Source organism: Homo sapiens, chromosome 10 (assembly GCF_000001405.40).
Source record: "Homo sapiens chromosome 10, GRCh38.p14 Primary Assembly".
NCBI lineage: Eukaryota > Metazoa > Chordata > Mammalia > Primates > Hominidae > Homo > Homo sapiens.
In genome coordinates, this window is record NC_000010.11 from 3,911,925 (window position 1) to 3,936,511 (window position 24,587).

At 43.4% G+C, this 24,587-nt stretch overlaps 1 long non-coding RNA gene across 5 annotated transcripts, besides 3 other annotated features; it reads left to right on the forward strand.

Moving 5' to 3' along the window:
- The first annotated feature begins 98 nt into the window (after positions 1–98).
- On the forward strand, positions 99–23,888 carry LINC02660 (long intergenic non-protein coding RNA 2660). Of its 5 annotated transcripts, NR_183982.1 has the most exons (4): positions 99–252; positions 20,732–21,048; positions 22,596–22,703; positions 23,755–23,888. It is a non-coding gene; the product is annotated as a long intergenic non-protein coding RNA 2660 (long non-coding RNA). The 5 variants fall into 5 exon arrangements; NR_183980.1 differs by having other exon boundaries at positions 22,596–23,888; NR_183983.1 differs by lacking the exon at positions 22,596–22,703.
- Positions 23,250–23,439: an enhancer, noted in NCBI's record as "active region_2918". NCBI's record gives its function as "activates an Ori minimal core promoter by ATAC-STARR-seq in GM12878 lymphoblastoid cells {active_cell/tissue: GM12878}" and the evidence as "EXISTENCE:reporter gene assay evidence [ECO:0000049][PMID:35858748]".
- Positions 23,480–23,529: an enhancer, noted in NCBI's record as "active region_2919". NCBI's record gives its function as "activates an Ori minimal core promoter by ATAC-STARR-seq in GM12878 lymphoblastoid cells {active_cell/tissue: GM12878}" and the evidence as "EXISTENCE:reporter gene assay evidence [ECO:0000049][PMID:35858748]".
- Positions 23,550–23,599: an enhancer, noted in NCBI's record as "active region_2920". NCBI's record gives its function as "activates an Ori minimal core promoter by ATAC-STARR-seq in GM12878 lymphoblastoid cells {active_cell/tissue: GM12878}" and the evidence as "EXISTENCE:reporter gene assay evidence [ECO:0000049][PMID:35858748]".
- Positions 23,889–24,587: the final 699 nt, after the last annotated feature.

A 24,587-nucleotide genomic window follows, 5' to 3' on the forward strand; every position in this document is an offset into this window, starting at 1 on the left:
CTGGTCTCTCCTCTCTCAGCCAACTATGAGAACTATTTGGGATTGAAGGAGATAAGCTACAGCAAGTCGTTACTTGTCCTGAATGCACGACCTTCTTTCTTTGAGCAAGAGGACAAACCTGGGTAGGGATCTCTATGATGTTTTCTGCGTTGCCCGTGGACGTTCATCTTTCTGATTTGTTAGCTGAAGATGAGGATCTGGAGCAGGAGCTCGGAGTGCCATTGTTCCATGGGCAGATGTGCAGCAGAGATTGTGAGTGGGGTCTGTTGGGGCGGTCAGGGGGCCCTCCTGAGCTGGCCTCTCTCGCCTGCGACTTCACAATGCTTGTTCTGAGTTCAGCGTTTTCACTGGAGAGAGCTACAGCTGGGAAGTGCTGTTTTTTTCTAGGTGCTCTCAGCTGCTATTACCTCTTCTATCTCTTCCTCTGGAAAAATATTAGGGGCCTTTTTGTCTTAACAGAAGAAGAAGTAGATTCATTCATTCTTTTTTTTCTTTTTCTTTTTCTTTTTTTTCAGACAGTCTCGCTCTGTTGCCCAGGCTGAAGTGCAGTGGCACGATCTTGGCTCACTGCAACCTCCACCTCCCTCCCGGGTTCAAGCGATTCTCCTGCTTCAGAATCCTGAGTAGCTGGGATTACAGGCTGTGCCATCATGTCTGGCTAATTTTTGTATTCTTAGTAGAGACGGGCTTCACCATGTTGGCCAGGCTGGTCTCCAACTCCTGACCTCAGGTGGCCCACCAGCCTCGGTCTCCCAAAGTGCTGGGATTACAGGCGTGAGCCACCGCACCCGGCCAATATTCATTCATTCTTTCTCACCTCTTCCTCCGCTCTTTAAGGTTGAGCTTGCCTGGCCCAAGGCACAGAGTTCTGGGAAGGATGGAAGAGAGGGGAAGGGAGAGCACCAACATCACGGACCGCCTTTCACATCAGCGGCAGCAGCAGTAAAACCCCCAGAAAACCTGGGGTAGGCGTGGGGGTCTGTTTAGATCAGCCCTGGAGGCAGCCTCCCATGTCCCTCCTGGACATTTGTTCACCTTCACAGAACCCACTTCTTTCCCATCGTCTGTTCGGATATCTGTTTCCTGCACCGGGCAGGTAGCACAGCACACTCAGGGGTTTCTCTGACTCACCTTGGCAGCCCCAGCCCTCAGCACACTGCCTACCACTTAGTATTTAGAGAACCTATGCCCTTTGAAAAAAGTAGGTAAATAGTAAAATATTATTTTTACCATTGGAACAAACACAATTATATGCTTGATGAAATTCAAACAGTACAAATGCAAGAAAAAAAAGGCTTGTTAGGTACAAATATTGGAAGAAAAGAGCTTGGGGCCAGAAGTGACCCCAGACAGATGGGCTGGGAAAGAAGGGCTTTACAGGGACCTCAGTGGCACACAGGGCCTAGACCCAGAGATGGGGCCTTCTTGACAGGACACCTCTGTCCAAGGGCATGGGTTGCGCTCATGTCTCTGTAACATATTTCAAAAAGGATGCAAAGAAACCCAACTTTTCCGGAGAAAGTGGCAAAAATAATGAAGAGTGGTTGACCAGAAGGCTTAGGGCCCTGGGACTGTGTTGCTAGAGAGTAAGAACCACCTGTCCTTGAGCAAACCAAACTGGCTTTGATCTTCTGCCCTTCTCTGTAGAGGACTGAGCAGGAGGAAATAAGAATTACATGAAGAGCTTCCTAGGGAGCTTCCGGAAGAAAATCTTAGTCCCCTGCCCTGGACACTTTCGCCAGTCAAGGGCAGAAGGTGGCTAAACAATAGGACGGTTGAGTATCCCTTATTCATAGTGCTTAGGACCAGAAGAGTTTTGGATCATGAATTTTTTTGGAGCATTTCAGATTTTCACAGCCGCAGGTAGGGGGACAGGTTGATGAAAGCCCCGCTGTGTCCCGTGATTTGTGACAGATATCTGTTTTCTTCCTCATTCCAATGCATCATCTTGGATTTTGGAATATTTGCATTATACTTATCAGTTGAGCATCACAAATTCAAAAATCCAAAATCTGAAATGCTCCAAATAAGAATTTCCTTTCAGCCTCATGTCGGCATTCAAAAAATTTCAAATTTTGGAGCATTTTGGATGTCAGATTTTCAGACTTGAGGTGCTCAGCCTGTACAGGTTATTCAGGCTCCTGAATTCTGTGATTGCTTTTTTTTTTTTTCTAGAGCAAAGTTCCATAAAGAGCAGATGGAGAGGTGTTGATTAGCAATCAATTAATTAGTTGATATTTATTGGACCCTTAACTCTGTGTCAGGTATGGCTCTAAGGGCTTGTAAAAGCATCAAATCAATTTATCCAGGCCTCATACTGCCCACTCCAGCATGTACTATTATATTATTAGCCCATTTTATAGATGAGGAACCTGAGGAATAGCAGTGTTGAATCACTTGCCCGACGTTGTATTTCTTGAGTATGATTGTAGGTATTAGACGGGGTTCTGAAACAGGGCAAGGATGCAATTGAAATAAAGAAGGAAACAGATACCTGTCACAAGTCACTGGATACAGCTGAGCTTCTATCAACACAACTCAAGTGTGTGCATCTGGTACCTGTCAAGTTAGAGAAATTGGTTGTTGTACAACATGACCTCATAATCAAAATATTGTATCAGAGTGCCTGCTGGTAGCAGATATCCAAACTTCTCTTGTCTCTTGTTCAAGATCAATTGTCTCCTAGCTCATTTGATTCAGTTTGGAGATCATTTGGTTCCATGGACAACCTCTATTGGTGTTATATCTGGGGAAGTGCTTGCCTTGGTCCTGGACTTGATACCACTAAAGCTGATAATGAGAACAGAGTAGGGTTCTATTAGGTGAGAGCAAGGGTTCAGATGGGAGCATGTTAGGAAGCCCCCCATCTCTTCCAGCACTTGCCTCATCCAGCCTTAGCTGGAGCTGCAGATGCACCTGCTGGTGACACTCAAGCACCACCCGGTGTGGCCTGCAAGGCCCTGTCAGGGTGGGCTCTCCTTCCTGTCTTGCCAGCATCGTCACACAGCTATGCCCTGTGTTCATCTGGCAGTGGCATGCTAGCTGCATTTCCAGGCTCAGCTATGTCTCCTCCTGCCTCAGAGCCTCTGCATGCATGTGCTCCTGCCGGGAATTTTCTTGCCCCGGTTCTTCCTGTGGCTGGCTCCCTGCCATCCTCCTCCCTGCCATCCTCTGCTCTATTCAAGTGTCACCTTCTTAGACGTGCCTTTCCTTATAGCCCCCGAGTGATGGCCTCTCCTCCCCAAGTCACACTCTACACTTGCTTTATTTTCTTCTTACCTTGTATTGAAATTTGAAATTGTCAAGTTCACTGATTTACTTGTTTATGATTTGTCACCTTTCACTAAAATGTAGGCTCCATGAAGGCAGAGCCCTACCTCTCCTATTTACTGGTCTATGCTCAAGTCCAGGAATAGTATTTTCTCAATAAATATTTAATGAATTGACAGATGAACTGGTGATGAAGGTTCTAGTTAAAAAACAAAAAAGAAAAGTGGTATTTTGGTAAAAAAAACAAAACAAAATGAAACAAAATAACACAAACAACTCTGATTTGTAGTGTTGGCCAATTTCCATGGTGTAAATATTCTTATCATAGTCATTAGTAGCTTCAAATTTACACCACAGAAATCAGACAATACTACAGCATGCAGTTATTTTCTGTTTGTATTAACAGTTGGGGCCTATTAAACTAGCAGATTTAGGCAAAATGGTGATGTGAGTTTATCCAGGCTGGTGGGGATTTAGAAGTTAAAGATCAATAGCCAGATATGGTGGCACATGCTTGTCATCCCAGCTACTTGGGACGCTGAGGCACGAGAATCGCTTGAGCCTGGGAGGTAGAGGTTGCAGTGAGCTGAGATGGTGCCACTGCACTCCAGCCTGGGTGACAGAGCAAGACTCCATTCCAAAAAATAAATAAAATAAAATAAAACAAACTTAAAGATCAAGAATTGTCAAGAAAAACCAATGTAAAGCATTTCCTGTCATGCTTTCTGTAAGCATTTCATGTAGATGATGTCTTCCAATCTCCCAGGACTCTAGGAGTGAGATATTCTCATTCTCATTTTATAGGTGAGTTACTGAGATTCAGAGAGGCTAGTAACATGCACGTGTTCACATGGTTGGTTAGGAATGATACTGGGATCTCTTTGGAAGCCTTGATACTGGTCCAGTTGATGAAATACTCCCTGGTCTGCCCATATTTATAAAATTTTTATGAGACCTAGATGCTACAGGAGGCCTCCCTCCAACTCCCAGGTAAAGCTATGTGATTTGATTCCATGCTCCAGTTCCAGGGTCCATGAAATTTCTGCTGAGAGGCACAGTTCATCCTGTTAGGCCATGGAGTGTGGTGGGATGGTGGGCAGGTTTGCAAGTGCTGGGGTTATACTGTCTAGGTTTCGAGGCTGATTTCTGACTTACAAGCTGAGTGGTGTTAGGTGAGATTCTCAATGGCTTGGCAGCCTCAGTTTTCTCATTAGTTATATTAAGATAACATTGGCTTCTCCCTCTTAGGATTGGTGTGAGAATGACAGACGTGATTGCATATAAAGTGAATAGCAGTGCCTTTCCTAGACTAACTGCTCAATACATCTAAGCTACTATTTTATTAGAGAATACGCTTTATAGCTTTATTGTGTTCTTGGGCTTTCATCCTAACTGTATGCTTTCTTCAAAATAAAAAAGTTGCCAAATAATTTTTTTTTCATTTTTTTGTATTGCGTCAATGAACCTCAAGTGAAACCTCTTTTCTTTCCATATAAACCAAGACTGATCTCAGAGACAAGCACCACTGTGGTATATATGTCAGTATCCAAAAGGATTTAGACCATTTGGAAACTCTTTGGAAAGCCCTGTTGGAAATACGAAGATGTTGTGGGGCTGTCACTTTAACCCCCGATTCTCAAGAGAATCTTGCGAAGAGTGTCTCTTCTATGGATTTGCAGGGGGTAGGACCATTGCATGGTCTGCATATCTGTTTTTTCCTACATTTCAAAACACAAGGTGCTCTTGTTGTCTCTGTCCTACCAGTGAGGAAGCAGAGGCTTGGTGAAGAGAAAGTAACTTGCTCAAAATCTCATGGCTGCACAGTAAGGGAATTGCTGTGACATGAGACCACGTGCAACCCATGCTTAGACCCAAGGCCCACAGTGCAGAGCCTCTCTGTTAGGTAAATGCTTGCTAGGTGCTTAAAAGGCTGAGTGATTTGTATGTTTGCCAGATCTCTCTTTTGGTCTCATGAACCAATCCCAGAAATATGCATTACTCTCTAGTGATATTTTTTTGTTGTTTTTAGTGGGTAAAGGACTTTAAAAATAATAATAATAATAATAATAATAATAATAATAAACTTTAGGCCAGGCATGGAGAGTCACACTTGTAATCCCAGCACTTTGGGAAGCCGAAGTGGGTGGATAACCTGAGGTCAGGAGTTCGAGACCAGCCTGGTCAACATGGTGAAACCCCATCTCTACTAAAAATATAAAAATTAGCCGGGCGTGGTGACAGGCACCTGTAATCCCAGCTACTCAGGAGGCTGAGGCAGGAGAATCGCTTGAACTCGGGAGGCAGAAGTTGCAGTGAGCCAAGATCGCACCATTGCACTCCAGCCTGGGGAACAAGAGTGAGACTTCGTGTGAAAACAACAACAACAACTAAAACTTTATTGTGTATATCTGAGTTTACAACACAACATTATGGGATACATATAAGTAGTAAAATAGTTACAATAGTGAAGCAGATTAACACATCTATCATCTCACATAGTTACTTTTTCTGTGTGATAAGAGCAGCTAAAATCTACTTAACAAAAACTAACACAATCTAATCTTTTTAGCTTTGGTCTTCATGTTGTACATTAGATATCTAGACTCCTTGTTCATCCTACATACCTGCTATTTTGTATTCTTTGGCCTATATTTCACCACTTCCTCTCCCAACCCCACCCAGCCACTGGTCATCTCAATTTTACTCTCTATCTCTCTGTGTTTTTTTCCCTTATATTCCATATATAAGTGAGATTATGTAACATTTTTCTTTCCGTGTTTGGCTTACTTCACTTAGCACAATGTCCTTTAGGTCCATTCATGTTGTGGCAAATGACAGCATATCCTTATTTTTTAAGAGTGAATAATATTCCATTACATATATATTTATACCACATTTTCTTTATCCATTTGTCCCTTGATGGACACTTTGGTGGATTTCATATCTTGGCCATTGTGAATAATGCTGTAATGAACAAGGGAGTGTAGATGTCTTTATGAAGTGATGAGTTCATCTGCTTTGGGTATATTCCCAGAAGAGGAACTGCTGTTCATATGTTAGTTTTATTCTTAAGTTTTTTAGGCACCTCCACACTGTTTTCAATAGTGGTTGTACCAATCTGCATACACACCAAAAGCGTAATAGGGTTCTCTTTTCTCCACACCCTTGACAACATTTGTTATCGCTTGTCTTTTTCATAATAGCCATCTCATAGTGGTTTTAATTTGCATTTCCTTGATGATTAGTGATGTTTTGCACCCTTTCACATACCTGTTGGCCATTCTTAAGTCTTTTCTGAAGAAACGTTGATTCAGCTCCCTTGCCTGTTTCTAAATTGGGTTATTTGTTTTTCTGCTATTGAATTATAAGAATTCTTTATAAATTTTGGATATTGATTCTTTGTCAAATATATAATTTGCAATTTTTTTTTTCAGTGTGTAGGTTGTCCTTTCATTTTGATGAATGCTTTCTTTGCTGTGCAGAAGCTTTTCAGTTTAATGTGGTCCCATTTATTTATTTTTGCTTTTGTAGCCTGAGCTTTTATGTGATATTTAAAAATCATTTCCAGGGCCAATGTCAAGAAGTTTTCCCTATGTTATTTTCTGAAAGTTTTATGATTTCCAGTCATATATTTAGCTATTTTATCGTTTTGAATTTATTTTCAGTATGGTGTAAGATAAGGGTCCAATTTCATTCTTTTGCATTTAGAGATTCAGTTTTTCCAGGACCTTTTATTGAAGACACCATATTTTCCCCATTGTGTTTTTTTGGCTCCCTTGCCAAAAATTAGTTGACCACATATATTTAGGTTTAGTTCTGGGCTCTCTCCTTTGTTTCACTCGGCTATGTGTCTGCTTTTATGTCAGTGTCATACTGTTTTGATTACTATTGCTTTGTAACATAATTTCTTTTATTTTTTTGAGACAGGATCTTGCTCTGTCACCCGGGCTGGAGTGCAGCGGTGCACTGCAACCTCCACTTCCCGGGCTCAAGCACTTAAGCAGTCTTCCACCTCAGCCTCCGAAGAGTAGCTGGGACCACAGGCACATACCACACCTAGCTAATTTTTGTGGTTTTTTGGTAGAGATGGCATTTCACCATGTTTCCCAGGCTGGTCTCAAACCCCTGGACTCAAGCAATCTGTCTGCCTTGGCCTCCTAAAGTGCTGGGCTTAAAGGCATTAGCCACAGCACCCAGCCTTGTAACAGAATTTTAAATCAGGAATTGTGATGACTCCAACTTTGTTGTTTAGTGATACTTTGTTAAGAAGATATATTGCTTTGTTTTCTTTATTTGCCAAGTTTTAAACACCAAAATTAAACTGCAATAATACATTTTTGAGAATTTGAGGAAAATTTGTTTTATTTTCATACGTGATGGTCTTTGGAAAAGGACCAACTCAATGCCTAGCTTCAAATTTGAAGAAGATAAGCAGGATGCTTGGTGAACTATAAAAAAGTGCTTGGATCCAGCTGAGTTACAAGCATGTCTGTCTTCTAAATAGCTTTGGTTAGCTCACAGAGGTGTAAACTCAGTCCTAACAATGGGTGTTGGTTGCCCCTTTGAAATAGCACCATTTCTCCTGACCTCTGCACATTTGGCTTCATCTTCAAGGACAGAAAATCCTGGAAATCCCAGCGTTGTCTGGCTTCCTTTCTCACTAACCTCTCCAGGCTTTTCAGAAATCCCTCTGCATCGTTCTAAACAGGAAGTTTTGGTAGGCAGTTTTACAAATGGCCCTGTATTATGCAGGATGTCACCTATTGTTATTGGAACAAAGATATTCTGAAATATGGACAAAGGCTTCCAATCTGCCGGGGTCCTGGACCCTTCAGTAGCCTCTCATTGTATCTGGGAAGTGATTGAGTGAATTGGGTCACTCCAAGAATATACCTAAGCTTCAGAAACTCTGCTATTATTAGGATGCCAAAGTGGAGCTACACACAGCACATGCAGTTCACATTTATAGTACTTCTGTTTCCCAATTTGCTCTGTCTAAATACAACACAGTCACTTTCCAAATAAATGGGGTTACCTACATCTGTATACATAAATGAAAAAAAATGACTGGGGATGATCCATATCTCTGTTCTACTGTTAAAGTATTAGGAAAAAAACAAAACATTTATGAATCAAAAGTGCTACTAAAGTTTCTCTTTTGAAAGACTATGCATAAATCATGCACTTCTCAAACTTTTAAGACCTACATCTGCAAGAGCATATATATATAATATTATGTTAAAAAGAAATACTTTCTTATAATAGACTAACTGGCATAGTCAGAAGCTGATTGAGGGGTTTAATTTAGCTGCAAATTTCACTGATGGCTTCTCATTACCAAGTGCAGGAATTTCAGAGTGCAGAATATAGAACAATACACTCTGTTTATAAAGTAAAGCTTACACCCACCAGAAACAGAATTGCATTTAGCAGTATTTTACTTTATCTTAAAAGTAAAATTACTAAAATTGTTTTCCAAATGTTATTTGAGATTATGGATGAAAGAAAACGTGGTCATCGTAAGTTCTCTCCTCTTGTTTCTCAGTGCTGCAGTCCACTGTACACATCAACTATTTAAGAATTTCAGAGTGCAGAATATAGAACAATATACTCTGTTTATAAAGTAAAGCTTACACCCACTGAAACAGAATGGCATTTAGCAGTATTTTGCTTTATCTTAAAAGTAAAATTACTAAAATCGTTTTCCAAATGTTATTTGAGATGATGGCTAGAAGAAAATGTGGTCACTTAAGTTCTCTTCCTCTTGTTTCTCAGTGCTGAGTCCACTGTACACGTCAACTATTTCACACACACCCATTTTTCTCCCTCAATCCACCTTTCCCCTTTGACATTTGGATCATAGCTATCGTAATGTGTGCTGAATTATTTGTTGGGATCATTGGATTATGCCTTGCTGGACAAAATAATTCAAGTTAATTCATAGAGGCAATCTACTTTCAGTATTTATTTATTTAGAGAAAGAGTCTTTCTCTGTCACCTAGGCTGGAGTGCAGTGGTACAATCTCAACTCACTGCAACCTCTGCCTCCCGGGTTCAAACGATTCTCCTGCCTCAGCCTCCCGACTAGCTGGGACTATAGGCACCCACCACCACATCTGGCTAATTTTTGTATTTTTAGTCGAGACGGGGTTTCGCTATGTTGGTCAGTCTGGTCTCGAACTCCTGACCTCAGGTGATCCACCCGCCTTGGCCTCCCAAAGTGCTGGGATTACAGGGGTGAGCCATTGCTTCTGGACTCTTTTTAATTTTATTTTTAAATAGCAGTGACAAATATTTACTCCCTCTTTCTTTTCCTCTCACCTAGTAAGATCTTTTTCTCCATCACGTAACACACGCCCTGTGCTTTGGTGCCTGCACATCCCCATTTCTTTGGCTGCCTTAGGAGACGTGTTCCATCCTCGTCCATTAACCCCTCCCTACCGAAAGGATGTTTCCCAGCAGCCTCCACTTTGATATGATATTCTGGTGTTGCTCTAGACAAGGATACACTTGGGATAGGTTAGAAACATTCCTTTCTGGCTGGGCACAGTGGCTAATGCCTGTAATCCCAGAACTTTGGGAGGCTTAGGTGGGCGGATCACCTGAGGTCGGGAGTTTGAGACCAGCCTTGCCTACATGGCGAAACCCTGTCTCTACTGAAAATACAAAAATTAGCTGGACGTGGTGGTGTGTGCTTGTTGTCCCAGCTACTCGGGAGGCTGAGGCTGAGACAGGCTGAGGCACTTGAACCTGGGCGGTGGAGGTTGCAGTGAGCCAAGATTACGCCATTGCACTCCAACCTGGGAGACCAGAGTGAAACTCCATCTCAAAAAAGAAAAGGAAAGAAAAGAAAAGAGAAGAAAAGAAAATGTTCCTTTTTCTGAATAACCTCCTCCCTCTCTGTATGTAGATGAACCCCCGTCTTGAATTAGGCACCTCATATTCTCTAAGTCATAGGGTCTGTGTGGATTCATGCCATCTAGAACTGATGGCTGATATGGCGATTTCATCTTGTTAGTACACAGCTCTCACCTGCTATTTTTGCTTAAAGAGAAAACTACCCAGCGTTATCAGCCTGAGTACAAAAAAAATTAAAGTGCTATAAAAATACACATTGACTACTTGACAAATCCACGTGTTTCTGGTGTTATTTCAGTTGCATTGCATAAGGATTTAATTAGAAGACCCTTACAAGAACTAAAAGTTATTTCAAAAATAAGGTATTAATTTTCTGTCATGAAATTAAGAACTGATGGATAAATGGATAAGAGGCAGTTTGCATGATTGATAGTGACCCTTTGTGAATATAGCCTGCAGTTTTTGTTTTTATATGATTTCTAAAACATGCTATTTCAAAAAATTGTGGAGCAGTAGTCAGGAATCTTAGAATGATAAGTAGCAGAAATACAGCTTTTTTTTTTTTTTTTTTTGAGATGGAGTCCATTGCCCAGGCTGGAGTGTAGTGGCACGATCTCGGCTCACTGCGACCTCCACCTCCCGGGTTCAAGTGATTCTCCTGCCTCAGCCTTCTGAGTAGCTGAGACTACAGGTACTCACAACCATGCCTGGCTAATATTTTTTTGGGGGTATTTTTCTTTTAAGAGAGATGGGGTTTTGTCACATCGGCCAGACTGGTCTCAAGCTCCTGACCTCAAGTGTTCCTCCCACCTTGGCCTCCCAAAGTGCTGGGATTACAGGCGTGAGCCACCACACCCGGTCATCATGTTAGAATAAACCAAAGGGGCTCAGGTAAGGTAGCAGTCCCAGGAGTGGGCTGTCCTTAGGTACTGCCAAACCCAGGAGCTCAATAATATTACTGGAATTCTGTTTTTCAGTGTGTGTCTTGCAATTCTGCTTCACATAATGCTGGCTTCATCTTCAGACATGCTTTCTCTGCGTAGTAGAAAAGGCAGCCCCTGCAAAGTTCCTGGATCTCAAGAAAAGATGATTTCCTGCTTTCTTACCAATCCTCACCCATTTTAGGGCATTTATCTGTCCAGGCTGGGTCACTGGCTGACCTGTGGGTATGGAAGTGCACCTGCCGAGGTGAAGCACTAGTGCTTGGCTGCTGGAATAACAGGCTGATATCTAAGGCTGAGGAATGGTGCCCCTTGCACCGTAAGGAAGAGGGAACCAGCCATGTCCCACAGCTGGTTGTTGTTTGTAACAATCGTGGAAACTCAGTGTTCATCTCAGTTCTGCTGTGTGTTTGTGGGAGTCTTGGAATGATTATTCTGAACTATTTCACGGCATAGACTTGGGATGTCCAGACCTTGGCTGCCCTGCCCTGCACACTTCTATGTATTTATTAAGTATTTTCCAAGGAGTACTGCCATGTTGTGATCTTTTAGTCTTATCTAAGGCAGAAAGCAAGAAGCTGAGAGGGTGGGCTTGGATGCAGAACCCCCAACTTGATCATTTTCTGTGGGTTCTTGAGGGATGCATGGAGAGAGGCCACTCCAGAAATGGTTTCTTTTTATTTATTTATTTATTTTTTCTGCAATCTCTGCCTCCGGGTTTAAGTGATCCTCCTGCCTCAGCCTCCTGAGTAGTTGGGATTACAGGTGCATGCCACCATGCTCAGTTAATTTTTTTGTTCTTTTAGTAGAGATAGGATTTCACCATGTTGGCCAGGCTGGTCTCAAACCCCTGACCTCAGACAACCTGCCCACCTCAGCCTCTCAAAGTGTTGGAATTATAGGTTTGAGCCACCATGCCCAGCTGGTTTCTTTCTTTCTTTTTTTCTTTATTTTGAGACGGAGTCTTGCTCTTGTCACCCAAGCTGGATTGCACCGGTGCCATCTTGGCTCACTGCAAACTCTGCCTCCCGGGTTCAAGTTATTCTCCTGTCTCAGCCTCCTGAGTAGCTGGGATTACAGGCGCTCACCACCATGCCTGGCTAATTTTTGTACTTTTAGTAGAGATGGGGTTTCATCTGTTGAGAGCTTTGGGCTCAAACCCAAATGTGCTCCCTTGATGAGCTGGGTGGGGCTTGTGTCAACATTTCCAACCCTTTCTTCCTACCTGCCTGGCACCTCATTCCAAAACCCCTATTTTATTCTTGGTCTTTCAGGTATTAATGACCTCACATTGATAAGAATTCCTCAAGGAAGGAAAGGGAAGGGCACTGCTGAAATGGCTTGTTCTTCCCCCCAGCCCAAGCTTCTGTCTCTAATATCATGGAATCGCCAAATACGGTCTCCACATAGTTGTTCTTGACTATCCCATGTCAGAGTAGAGCGGGATGACTCAATTTTGTCTAGAGTTTAGGCTGAGCCACTAATAGAATCCAACACAGGCAAGGCAAAGGATGTGGTAATTAACATGGAGTGTGGTGACCACAGAAAGAATTGATGGAAGCATGTGAGGAAATGTGTCAACCGGAAAAGCAGCAGCTCAGCTCCTGGGGCCCAGTGTGGACTTGCCTTCAGGAGGTGATGATGTCGCTTTTGACCTGTGGGTCAGAGTAAAAATTGTGTAAAATCAGTTCCCAGTGTACAAACTGATGGATGTTAAAGGTTAATTTGTAAATAACTTTATATTTCTATGGGGAAAAAGCTTCCTAAGTTCCATGTAGGTTCTTGGGCCACTGTTTATGATAGAATTATAATACCAGATACTCAAAATGTCAAATGTCAGACAAAAATATTATGAATATACAGAATATACAGTATTTTCTTCTTCTTCTTCTTTTTTTTTTTTTTTGGATACAGAGTCTTGCTCTGTCATCCAGGTTGGAGTGCAGTGGCATGATCTCAGTTCACTGCAACCTCCACCTCTCGGGTTTAAGTGATCCTCCTGCCTCAGCCTCCTGAGTAGCTGGGATTACAAGTGTGTGCCACCACACCTGGACAGTTTTGTATTTTTATTGGAGACGGAGTTTCACCATGTTGACCAGGCTGGTCTCAAACTCCTGACCTCAACTGATCCACCCGCCTTGGCCTCACAAGGTGCTGGGATTACAGACGTCAGCCACTGCACCCAGCATGTAAAGTATTTTCTCTAACATATAATTTAAATACCAAATAAAGGCATGCTATGTGTTTCATTTAATGTCCAATTAAATGGAGTCAAATCTCACCCTCATGTCAAATTATCCTTCAGCCTATGTGCTGGGACAAAAGTTTTCATGACTGTAATCACCACAAGGCCTTCCTGTGTTGTACATGCAGATGGCCACAGCCTCACAGTCTAGTAGAAAAGTCTACCCGAAGCCTCTGAGAGGCCCAACATAATCAGGGACCACAGGAAACAGTAGAGCAATAGCAATGAAAAGGGGACGGAGTGCTGTGGGGTTCAGCCAGTGAAATGTGAAGAAACTCCAGGTCCTAGAATGTGGAATCCAGGAGAGCCACAGGCTTGCAGTCAGAGTTCGAGGGCCAGGCCGACTAAGAACTGGAGAGGCTGGGATTCACCGGGAGGCATGGGATGGAAGGGGTTGTCACCACACAGGAGCCAGGAACCCAGAGACAGGCAGCTGCAATGCAGAAAGAGGAAAAGACATCTTTTGAGGAAGCAAGCAAAAAATAATTCTGAATTAGTTTATACTGGTCCAGAGGTTTGTTTTAGTGCCAGCAATGGAGATATCAGTAAAAACTGAATCCTAATTATAATAATATTTTTAATGGAATAAATGCATTTTATCAACTTGAATTACTTATCTCCTTATTTTATATTATTATATATTACAAATATATGATTTTTATATATCTTTTTTTTTTTGAGACAGAGTCTCACTCTGTTGCCCAGGCTGGAGTGCACTGACCTGGTCTCCACTCACTGAAACCTCCACCTCACGGGTTCAAGTGATTCTCCTGCCTGAGCCTCCCGAGTAGCTGGGACTACAGGTGCAATGCCACCATGCCTGGCTAATTTTTTTTTTTTTTTTGTATTTTTAGTAGAGACAGGGTTTCACCATATTAGCCAGGATGGTCTCGATCTCCTGACCTTGTGATCTGCCCGCCTTGGCCATATATATCTTATTATATATGTATATATACTCTCCAGTCTGAGTTCTTCTCCTTCCTTTATAATTCTTACGTACGTGGTGTACATTGCAGAGAGCTTCATGAATGAAAACCATCTGAAATGTGTCACGGAATAATTATAAATATGGATACATGGAGAGGAATGTGGTAGAGCAAGACACTTTGAATCATCCACAATTCCCTCCACAACTGTCTTTTTTCCCAAGCTCTTTCAAATCTCAGATCATACCACTAAGAGGCTGTTACTGTTGGTGTTGTTCTTTGTGGTAGACAAAGAGGCATTGGCCACCTGCTGTTCTGTGCACTTTGCATGAATTCTGTAATTTTAAAGCGATCATAACGAGGAGGTGGATATGACCCCTGCTGTTAGGAGAGGAGGCATTGGGGCTGTTTTACATCACTCCTTTTATCCCAAAACTTTGTGGTTTTGGTAACGAGATAGGATGGCTTACCTTCCTTTTAACAAAGAAGATCTCCAGAATTAATATGTCTGAGGCACCATTGGCACATTTAGGTGGAAAGAGATTTGAAATAGTAATGCATTGCCAAAATTGCCTGAAACATCACATCATCTTTTTCAAAGAAATAACAGTTTCCCAAAACCGTTACCCTCCCAAACTCGCCCCCCTCCCATTGCAGCATATTCTAAATTATTCCCACGGGTGGGCCTTCGTTTTGAGAATGGACGTGATGCAATGTGCTACATTCTTGGAATTGGCAGCGGAAGAAAATTCTCAGAGTTTTCAGTGCTGGGAGCATAGATAAGGTGGCCAGTAGGCAGGGATTTCCCAACACGATTCATTCCTCACGAAAACCCTGAGTGCATGTCAACAAGCTCTTTTTCTAGATGTGGGCATCTCCGTCTTTGCTTTTTAAAATTCTTGTGGGTGAGAAGAAAATTCACCTGGCAAAGCTGCAGCTGGGCCCTCTGACGGCAGTCAGCAAAGACGCCTCCCTGACCTGGCGGTGTGTCTGAGCTCGTATTTTCCTTCCCGCATCTGTAAAGTGGTAGGTGACTGTAAAGATGATGATAAGCTTCGGAGCAGTTAGCACACTAACTGTAAAATTCCTGGGTGATGAAGGTGCCAGCAACCAAAGCAGGTGATTTTTGTCTCCTGGGATTCCCTTCAGCAGCAGGGCTGGCTCAGTTATGCTGGGTGCTTAGAGCACATGGTGGCCTGCCCACTGCCCGCACCTGGTGAAGAATGTAGAACATCCCGCACCAGCATAGAAGATCTGCAAAGAAACTCTCTACTTCATGCTACAGAATATTCAGCAAGTCAGTGGAAATAGCGATGCCAACCTATAAAGTACAGGAAAGGTGTTAAAAGAATGTGTAAGATTTAAGTACATTCTCTACATTCATATATTTATCTATTAATCAAAGCCCCAAATAGGTCATAACTTAGTTATTTTAAAATAACTTGTTTTTAGGGCTGGGTGTGGTGACCCACTCCTGAAATCCCAGCACTTCAGGAGGCCAAGGCAAGAGGATCACTTGAGGTTAGGAGTTCAAGACCAGCCTGGCCAACATGGCAAAAACCCATCTCTACTAAAAATACAAAAATTAGCTAGGCGTAGTGGCACTCGCTTGTAGTCCCAGCTACTCGGGAGGCGGAGGCAGAAGAATCATTTGAACCCAGGAGGTAGAAGCTTCAATGAGCCAAGATGGTGCCACTGCACTCCACCCTGGGAGACAGAGCAAGACTCTGTCTCAAAACAAAACCCCCCAAAACACCATCAATTTTAGTTGATTTTAAAATACAGAGGCGTGTAAAGAAGTGTGATTTTGATTGCACCAAGATAACTTGGACTGACTTTTTTTCATGGTTAACAATAAGTGACCTTCACATAGAACATTTAAGCAGACTAGACAGCTATAAAATAAACTTTTCCCTTCATCACATTCTTCCCCCAAAATTGTTGCTTTTTCTTGATTATTTTTCCAGAAAAATAAACACATACCTCAGCCTGTATGTGCACACTTACACACACGCACGCACACACACACAGACACACTATACTATTTTAAGTCCAGCAATATCTGGTGATAACCACCCATCTTCATAGAGCTGGCCCAGTGCCTGGCTGTTCCACATCCCGTGCAAGCAGCATTAACTGTGCACATAATAGCATATAAGGTGCATTTTGGTCTGGGTTTATGTTATCTGCTTATCTGCATTTCAACAGAAAAAGTTTTGTCTTGCTTTTGCCCTGATTCCTTTATGTTTTAACTGAGTTTACAATGAAAAAATACAAATATATAAATAAATATATGACACTTATTATGCTCAGAGACTAAAGCAGTTATTAAGAGAATTGTAAGAGAAACTACCAAAATACACAACAGCAAAATAAAGGACTAGTAAATATATATTTATAGCTTTTAATACTTAAATTGTCCCCATGAGAGACTGTCAACTTGACTGTAACTAGATTCCATGTGTATTTTATATGTTATTACACATATTGAAAAGATATATCACAATGACATTTAAAATTGATGAATGCAATTTACCCAACTGTTGACTTCACAGTCACTCTACGTGGCGCTCTGGATGACACAAAGATAAGACACTGGAGTTCTGAAGGATGTTACTCTAAATGGAGAAAAGAATACCTGCAGAAAAATGGCAATCATGCATTATAAATATAGCAAATGGCTTGCTACCAGTCAAAATAAAGGGCTTTTTATAGTCTGTAGATTCCCAAGTAAATATAGAAATCCTGCCTCCTTTCAAGTGACAGACTGTTTGATAGAAAGTCAACTTGTTGGGTGGAATGAGCTGGGACCAGGAGAAGGAGAAAGGGAGGGGTGAGAAAGAGTAGAAGGCTCATTTTAAAAATCATGTCTGGGCCAGGCGCAGTGGCTCACGCCTGTAATCCCAGCACTTTGGGAGGCCGAGGCAGGCGGATCACGAGGTCAGGAGATCGAGACCACCCTGGCTAACATGGTGAAACCCCATCTCTACTAAAAATACAAAAAATTAGCTGGGCGTGGTGGCAGGTGGCTCCTGTAGTCCCAGCTACTCTGGAGGCTGAGGCAGGAGAATGGCGTGAACCCGGGAGGCGGAGTTTGCAGGGAGCCGAGATCCTGCCACTGCACTCCAGCCTGGGCAATAGAGCAAGACTCCGTTTAAAAAAAAAAAATTATGTCTGTGCATGTATTCCCTCCAGACCATTTGCCTTTCCTTAGGTGCAGCATACTGGTGTCAACTGTGTCCTGCTACATTAAAAGAAATGAGACTTTGATTTGATTGGATCTATCTAGGAAGAACTGCATAAATTATGAATCATGATTGATTAATTCATGTTGAAATAGTTTGGCAAAAATATTTCTTTCTTGGGGTAGGAAAGACATATCGGCTTAGTCCTAAAGAGAATGAGCTCTTCCCCTACTTCATTTCATATTTTCTCAACTAACTTTTATTGAACACAATTATGCACTAAATATCATCCTAGGTGCTGTAAGGAACCAAATGAGGCCTGTTTTTGTGCACAGGACATTTACAAGCCTGCAGAAGGAAATGTGTAAACATGACCTATATCCACAGTGCAGGAGGAAGCTGTTGTAGAAGGAAATTCCATGACTGAAAGGAAGTCTTCGAGTACTTGGGATGGGGAGAGCCTTTGGGAGCTGGGGGATGGCATCTATGAGTGCTAGGCTTGGTATCAAGCCTCGCTTTTCCTGACACTATATGCTAGGAAGGCCTGCGTAACCAGGGTGGCCGAGGAACGGTGAGAATCTCATGAGGGCCGGAATCCAAAGGCAGCAACATGCTTGGAGGCTAAAAGGAGGCTAATGCCTCCATTCCAGGGGAGGCTCAGGAAAGATGCCCTTGCACCTATGACATTTGGCAAGAGCCCTGGAGGCTGAGCTGGAAGGGGGTGGCATCAGAGCTTGAAGAAACAGCCTGAAGAAACTGAGCCATGAGTTATGAGCCTGATACACCTGCCAAGGAATGGCGGGTGGGAGAAGAAGCAGGAAGGCGCTGTGGCTTGAATATTTGTCCCCTCCAAAACTCATGTTGACATTCAATCCCCAGGGCCACAGTATTTAGAAGTGGGGCCTTTGAGAGGTGATTAGGTCAAGAGGGCTCTGTTCTCATGAGTGGATTAATACTTTTCTTTTTTTTCTCCATTTCTTTCCCTTCCTTCCTTCCTTCCTTCCTTCCTTCCTTCCTTCCTTCCTTCCTTCCTTCCTTCCTTCCTTCCTTCCTTTCTTTCTTTCTTTCTTTCTTTCTTTCTTTCTTTCTTTCTTTCTTTCTTTCTTTCTTTCTTTCTTTCTTTCTGATGGGGTCTTGCTCTATCGCCCAGGTTGGAGTGCAGTGATGTGATCTCGGCTCACTGCAATCTCCACCTCCCAGTTTCAAGCAATTATCCTGTCTCAGCCGCCAGAGTAGCCGGGACTACAGGCGTGCACCACTACGCCTGGCTAATTTTTGTGCTTTTAGTAGAGAAGAGGTTTTACCATGTTGGCCCGGCTGGTCTCGAACTCCTGACCTCAGGCAATCTGCCCAGCTCGGCCTCCCAAAGTGCTGGGATTACAGGCATGAGCCACTGCACTGGGCCAGTGGATTAATACTTTCATGGGCTAATAGATTAATGGGCTATCATGAGTGGGGAACTGGTGGCTGTGTGAGAAGAGGAAGAGAGACCAGAGCTAACACATTAACACTCTCAAGCCCCTCGCCATGTGATGCAATGCGCCATCTTGGAACTCTGCAGAGAGGGGCTCCACCAAGAAAAAGGCCCTCAACAGATGTGGCCCTTCACATCTTGGACTTCTCAGCCTCCATAACCATAAGAAATACATTTTATTTCTTCTCAATTACCCAGGTCCAGGTATTCTAAGCAACACAAAACAGATGAGGAGAGTAGGTTTTGGGTTCAATTGTGGAGCCCCCAGCAGCATGCCTGGCCCTTTCCTCCAAGCACTCGGAGTCATGCCACTTCACTCGCTCCTCCTGGGCCGGCCGGCTCAGATGAGAGGGAAGATGAACGTCTGTCTTAGCTTTGCCAGGTGGCGATCCTTGAGCTCTTCTTGTGAGAAAGCAGCCAAGAAATAAGACTGAAGCATTCTACATTTAACAGATTGGACCCCTCGTAAATTGTACCACCCAAAGCACAGCTTTCTCCTGTATTTTGTGATATGGAAAGCTGTGTCACATCCTGAGAGTCATTCCCGCAGCCCTGGCTGGACTCGTTCCTGCCTACAACTCTCTCATCCTGTCCGGCATTGGTGCAGGGTGTCTCGAGGCTGAGATTCCATCACTTCCACATCTGTGTCTTCACCCTCTGTCCACAGGCCACGCACCCAGTAAGGGGAAGTGAGGCAGACTGGCTGTGAACCTGGGGATGCCACCAAAACCAGGTAACAGACCAAGTCACCCTTCAGACAGGCAGTAAAGAGCTGGCTCTACTGTGTGCCTTTCCTGCTGTGGGGCACAAATCCCCATGACCTTTGGCAATACCCAGCTTTGCAAATTTAACCATGATAGATAATTTCCCTCTAAAATGCAACAAAGTATAACTGAAAATGTAACTGGCCTCCTCGCATCATTAATGTTCTTATGCAAAAGGAATTAGGTGATTTACAAAGCTCTGAAAATACAGTCCAGCCAGAGCACTTGCCAGAAGCGTTCACAATTCACCGTCGCTTGCTCGTGTGCACATCTTGCCATGCGACACCCAAGCCACACGCAGGAATCACGGTCCATCTCAGGAGCTCATTGTTCAGTTCCTCTGGATGCTCTTCATTCTGTCTAAACTGGAATATTACTATAAGTTTATAGTAGAAAAACGTGATGATTTTATAATAACGAGCTCAATCGTCTCATAGTTGTCCAGTGGTTTCATGGCACCAGGCGGGGCACAGGGACGGGGTGCAGGAGGGGCCCTGCCGGCTGTCACACCTGCCATGCAGGTGGGCTTCACAAACCTCCAGGAGCCTCTTCTCTCCCAGACTTTCGGGGAAGAGCAGCTTCTGGGCTCATGTAGGGCCCTGCACTTTCATTCTGGGGGCACTGACAAATACAAACAGAATTCAGGTGAGTGATACAAAGGAAATGGATAAAGCATTTGGTGGGGAGAGAGGTGTGGAGGCTCCTTTGGTTTGAAAGATTAAGACTCAATCTCACGTCTCCAAGGAGGAGAAATTCTACATGAGAAGTAAACATTGGGAGCGCCAGGCATGGGAGGCCTGTGGCAAGGGCTGGGGGCAGGGGAAGCTGGCGCCAGAGGGGGCCAGAGGGCACCTGGTGTGTTTCAGGGCAGTTGAAGGCGTAAGGTCAGGATGGGCAGGGCATGGGCAGAGGGGAGGGGTGACGGGGGGCATGGGCAGAGGGGAGGGGTGGGGGGGCATGGGCAGAGGGGAGGGTGGGGGGGCATGGGCAGAGGGGAGGGGTGAGGGAGGCCAGAACCGGGCAGGGCCCAGCCTCTGCTTGGGTGTTCATGGGTTCTTTTGTCTGCAGAGCATTAGGAAGACAAGCAGGGCCTTCAGTAGGCATAAGGTGATGAGGTTCATGCCGTTGGATCCCACGGGTGCCCTGGGGAAGAGATGGTTGGGAAGTCTGAGAGGAAGCAGGAGAGCTTTCGGAGCACATGGATGCCGTCCAGAATGGAGATGGTTGTGGCTCGGAAGAAAAAGAAATCACCCAGCTCGGAGTCAGGATACATTTGGAGGTCCAGGCCGCCGAGTTTGCTGGTGGGGAAGATAGGCACCAGAAAGGAAAGAGGACATCCAGGGCAATTTCTTCTGCCCCCCAGCCAATCCGTACATTGTCCAGAGGTAGGAAGAAGTAGCCTCATTTTATGGTCAGGATCCTTGGGGCTCAGATGCGTTAAGTAATTGGTCAAAATCTTGCACAAATCCTGCAAGTACAGAGGTAGAAAATGAATCCAGGTCTTTGATTCCCAAACGTAAGCTCTTTCGCTGTGTCACTTCTCCTCTTCGTTTTCATGCCAGTTCCAAGAATTAACACTGCAGTTAGCTTTCTGTTTCCTTTCCCAAGATGTACTATGTAACAATGAAGAAACCTTAAGAAAAGGATAGCAATGTCTAACATGGATGCAGGGCCAGCCTCATTCTCTGTCAAAGCGACTAGTTCCTACACTCTGGGTTCCAATACAAAGAATGCACATTTATGCAGCAGGAATGGCCCAAGGACCACACATTGCACAGCTCTTGGGAGCAGAGCAGAAAGCTGCGCCAGGCCTATCTGATCAGTCTTCATGGAAAGGGTCGCAGATCCCATTCGGCTTGGAGATTTTGATGAATTTTCCTTTCTGTGGGTTGGATTTAAAATGTAATATTCTTCCCCCAGTTGAAAGTTTAGGACTAAAAGATGGGAAATCTTTTACAAGCTACACTTCTTCCCCACCCTTACTTCCCCTGGAGTTTCCATCAGCAATCATCTGAGTGCCCCATTAACTCCCCAAAACCCAAGGTCTGTTGGTGGTGGAATATTGAGCTGAAGAGCAGACTGTTGTAGAAGTCATCAGTTCTCTCTGATCATAGTGTCCAAACAAAAACATTATGGGGGAAACTGGCCCCATCACTTAATTATCTCCCAACAGGTCCTTCTCAAAACACATGGGAATTATGGGAGCTACAATTCAAGATGATATTTGGGTGAGGACACGGCCAAACTGTATCAAGTCCCCAATTGAGGGCACCTGCTCCCTGTAGATAATGGCATTTCAGATCTACAATGTGGCATTTCCAGACAACTCACTCATTTACGCTGATTGGTGCAAATTTTATTTTAGCCTCCAAACATTTTTCTTCCCCAGTCTGTTAAAAGAAAACAAAACCAAAACACCTCTCTCTCTCTCTCTCTCTCTATTTATAGATAGAAACGCTTACCCATATCATAGCATCAGTATTTTGCTGAAGCCCTGGAGTGTCAGGCACCGTGTTAGGAACTGAATACAAAAATAAGATGTAAACCAGTCCCTCAAGGAATCTATGGGACTGGTAAGATTAGCTAACCGTGCACCTGGAGGGAATATACTTAGAAATAACTGCAAATTCTGCAGAAATGCTGAGGGGTTCCCAAACTCGTTTCTGTGAGGCCTGTTAATTGCTGAGTTGTTTTGTCTCTGGTCTGTGGAACCCCGATAGTGTGCCCTAGGTCTTTAATTTCTTCATCTCTAAAGAATAGTGTCAATGGAGTCATTGCATGTGTTTATTCATACTTCTCAATGTGGAAGAGAACTCTCTAGGGTGTAAAACCCTATCCAGGAAGCACATGACAAGTTGGAATCCTCAATGACATGGCATTGCTATAGTTGCTATCGGAACAATCTTTTCTTTTTTTTCTTTTTTTGAAACAGGGTCTTGCTCTGTCATCCAGGCTGGCGCGATCTCGGCTCACTTTGACCTCTGCCTCCTGGGTTCAAGCGATTCTCCTGTCACAGCCTCCTGAGCAGCTGGGATTACAGGCAGGCACCACCATGCTGAGCTAATTTTTGTATTTTTAGTAGAGACCAGGTTTCGCCATGTTGCCCAGGCTACTCTCGAACTCCTGGCCTCATGTGATCCGCCCACCTCAGCCTCCCAAAGTGCTGGGATTACAGGCGTGAGCCACTGCAACCAGCTGGAACAATCTTGATATTAGGGTGAACAAGTGATTTCATAGCTTTCTCTGAAGGAGGAAACACTGGGAGCATCCACCCGAGAATCAACACTGTGGATCATTCTGGGGAGTTAATAGTTTTGAGATGTGTCCCAAGATAATTGTTAGCTTGAATTACCACGTGGATGGAACCATGCTGATCCTAAGAGCCAGGTAATGGCCAAAGGTGCCATTCAGGTGAAATCCCCAGGTGGAAAATTCTTCCACTTCCAATGATAGAATTCTATTACTCTGCCTATAGTTTGGTGAAACAAGACTTTACAAATAGAGGACAAGATCCATTTTGCCAAGAACAACCATATGGATTTAACTGCTGCTAACAACCGTTAGGAAGGAACATCAATAAAAAGCAAGCCTGTGAGACAACTCCTTCCCCAAGGGGCGCTTGTTACAGAGCGCGGGCCCCAGCAGGCCTGGTCCATCCTCCACATTCTTTCCTCTCTGACTTATTTTTACTTTCTGTTTGAATTGGCTTGGTTTTATTTTGCCCTAAACTGTGTCTGTAGTCATCCCCCGACAGAGTTTTGAGAGTGAAAGTCCGATCTGCCCACGCTTCACAGAACTCAATGCGGAGCCTTCTCAGGAGTCACTTGACGTCAAGGCTGACTTTTAAATTTGCCAAAAAGGCATTCTTTGGGGAGCGGTCGGCACCATCACTTTCCCTCTTTAGAGAGCTGCTACTGGCTGCTGGAATTCAAAACCCACAAATTGCATTTCTAAACTTAATTCGATACATAGATGAGCGGAAAGATCAGACATTGATGCTATTGTTTTCAACCAAGATGTTTTACTATATCATTTATATTTTGTTTTTTTCTTCCCCCAGTTTTTAAACTTTTTGTTTGTTTGTTTTACAGGCCAAGCCTACTGCTGTTAGAAAACATATTTAGAAATCACTTGGTTCTTCCTTGCCTGAACATCATCTATTTAGTTAGCTTGTGTTGTTTAGATGTGCTTCAGATCTCAAAAAAATAAATTATGTTATTTGAAAGCTTGCTCTCTGCTTGTTTACACTATTAATTTAGAGTCCAGAGGAATCTCTAAATTTGCCTCTAGAAACCACATAATCACCTAATAATACCTTTCCTGACTCCACTTTCTGACACAAAGTGACTTTTGAAACGCTTCCATCTTCCCTTTCTATTTAATGTACTGCACTCCACTCTTTTTTCCTTTCGTTTTTTCTACAGTCCGTCATGGAGTATTTGTTTACCAAATGTTACTTTTCTTGGATCCAATCTATTTTTGAAGAGCGCAAAAGCAAACAACTGTTTGAAGCTGTCAAGCTTCATTTTATTTATGCATGAATAACACAAATAACTTGAAAATGACCTAGTCTGTTTTTCTCAGATTTAGATAGAAAAACTGCTTCCGGCCAATGTTTATGCCAATTTGTTCATGCCAAGTTTCCAGTTTCGGTGCCAACCGGTTTTTACAGCCAAGTTGTAAACCTTCGGTAAACATGGCTTATAATGAAAAGTGCAACACAGCCTGAACCCTGGCACCAGGGGACGGATGTAAATTTATTCTAAGAACAAAATTCTAACAGGAACAGGAGGGGAGCTAGGCTGGCTACAAAGTGTTCCCACCGTAATATGGAAAATGTACAGATGATGATATATTTGATTACTAAGATCCCATTAGGCCAATTTAGGCACTTTATGTATTTCCTTTGCTCTGGACGCTGAGT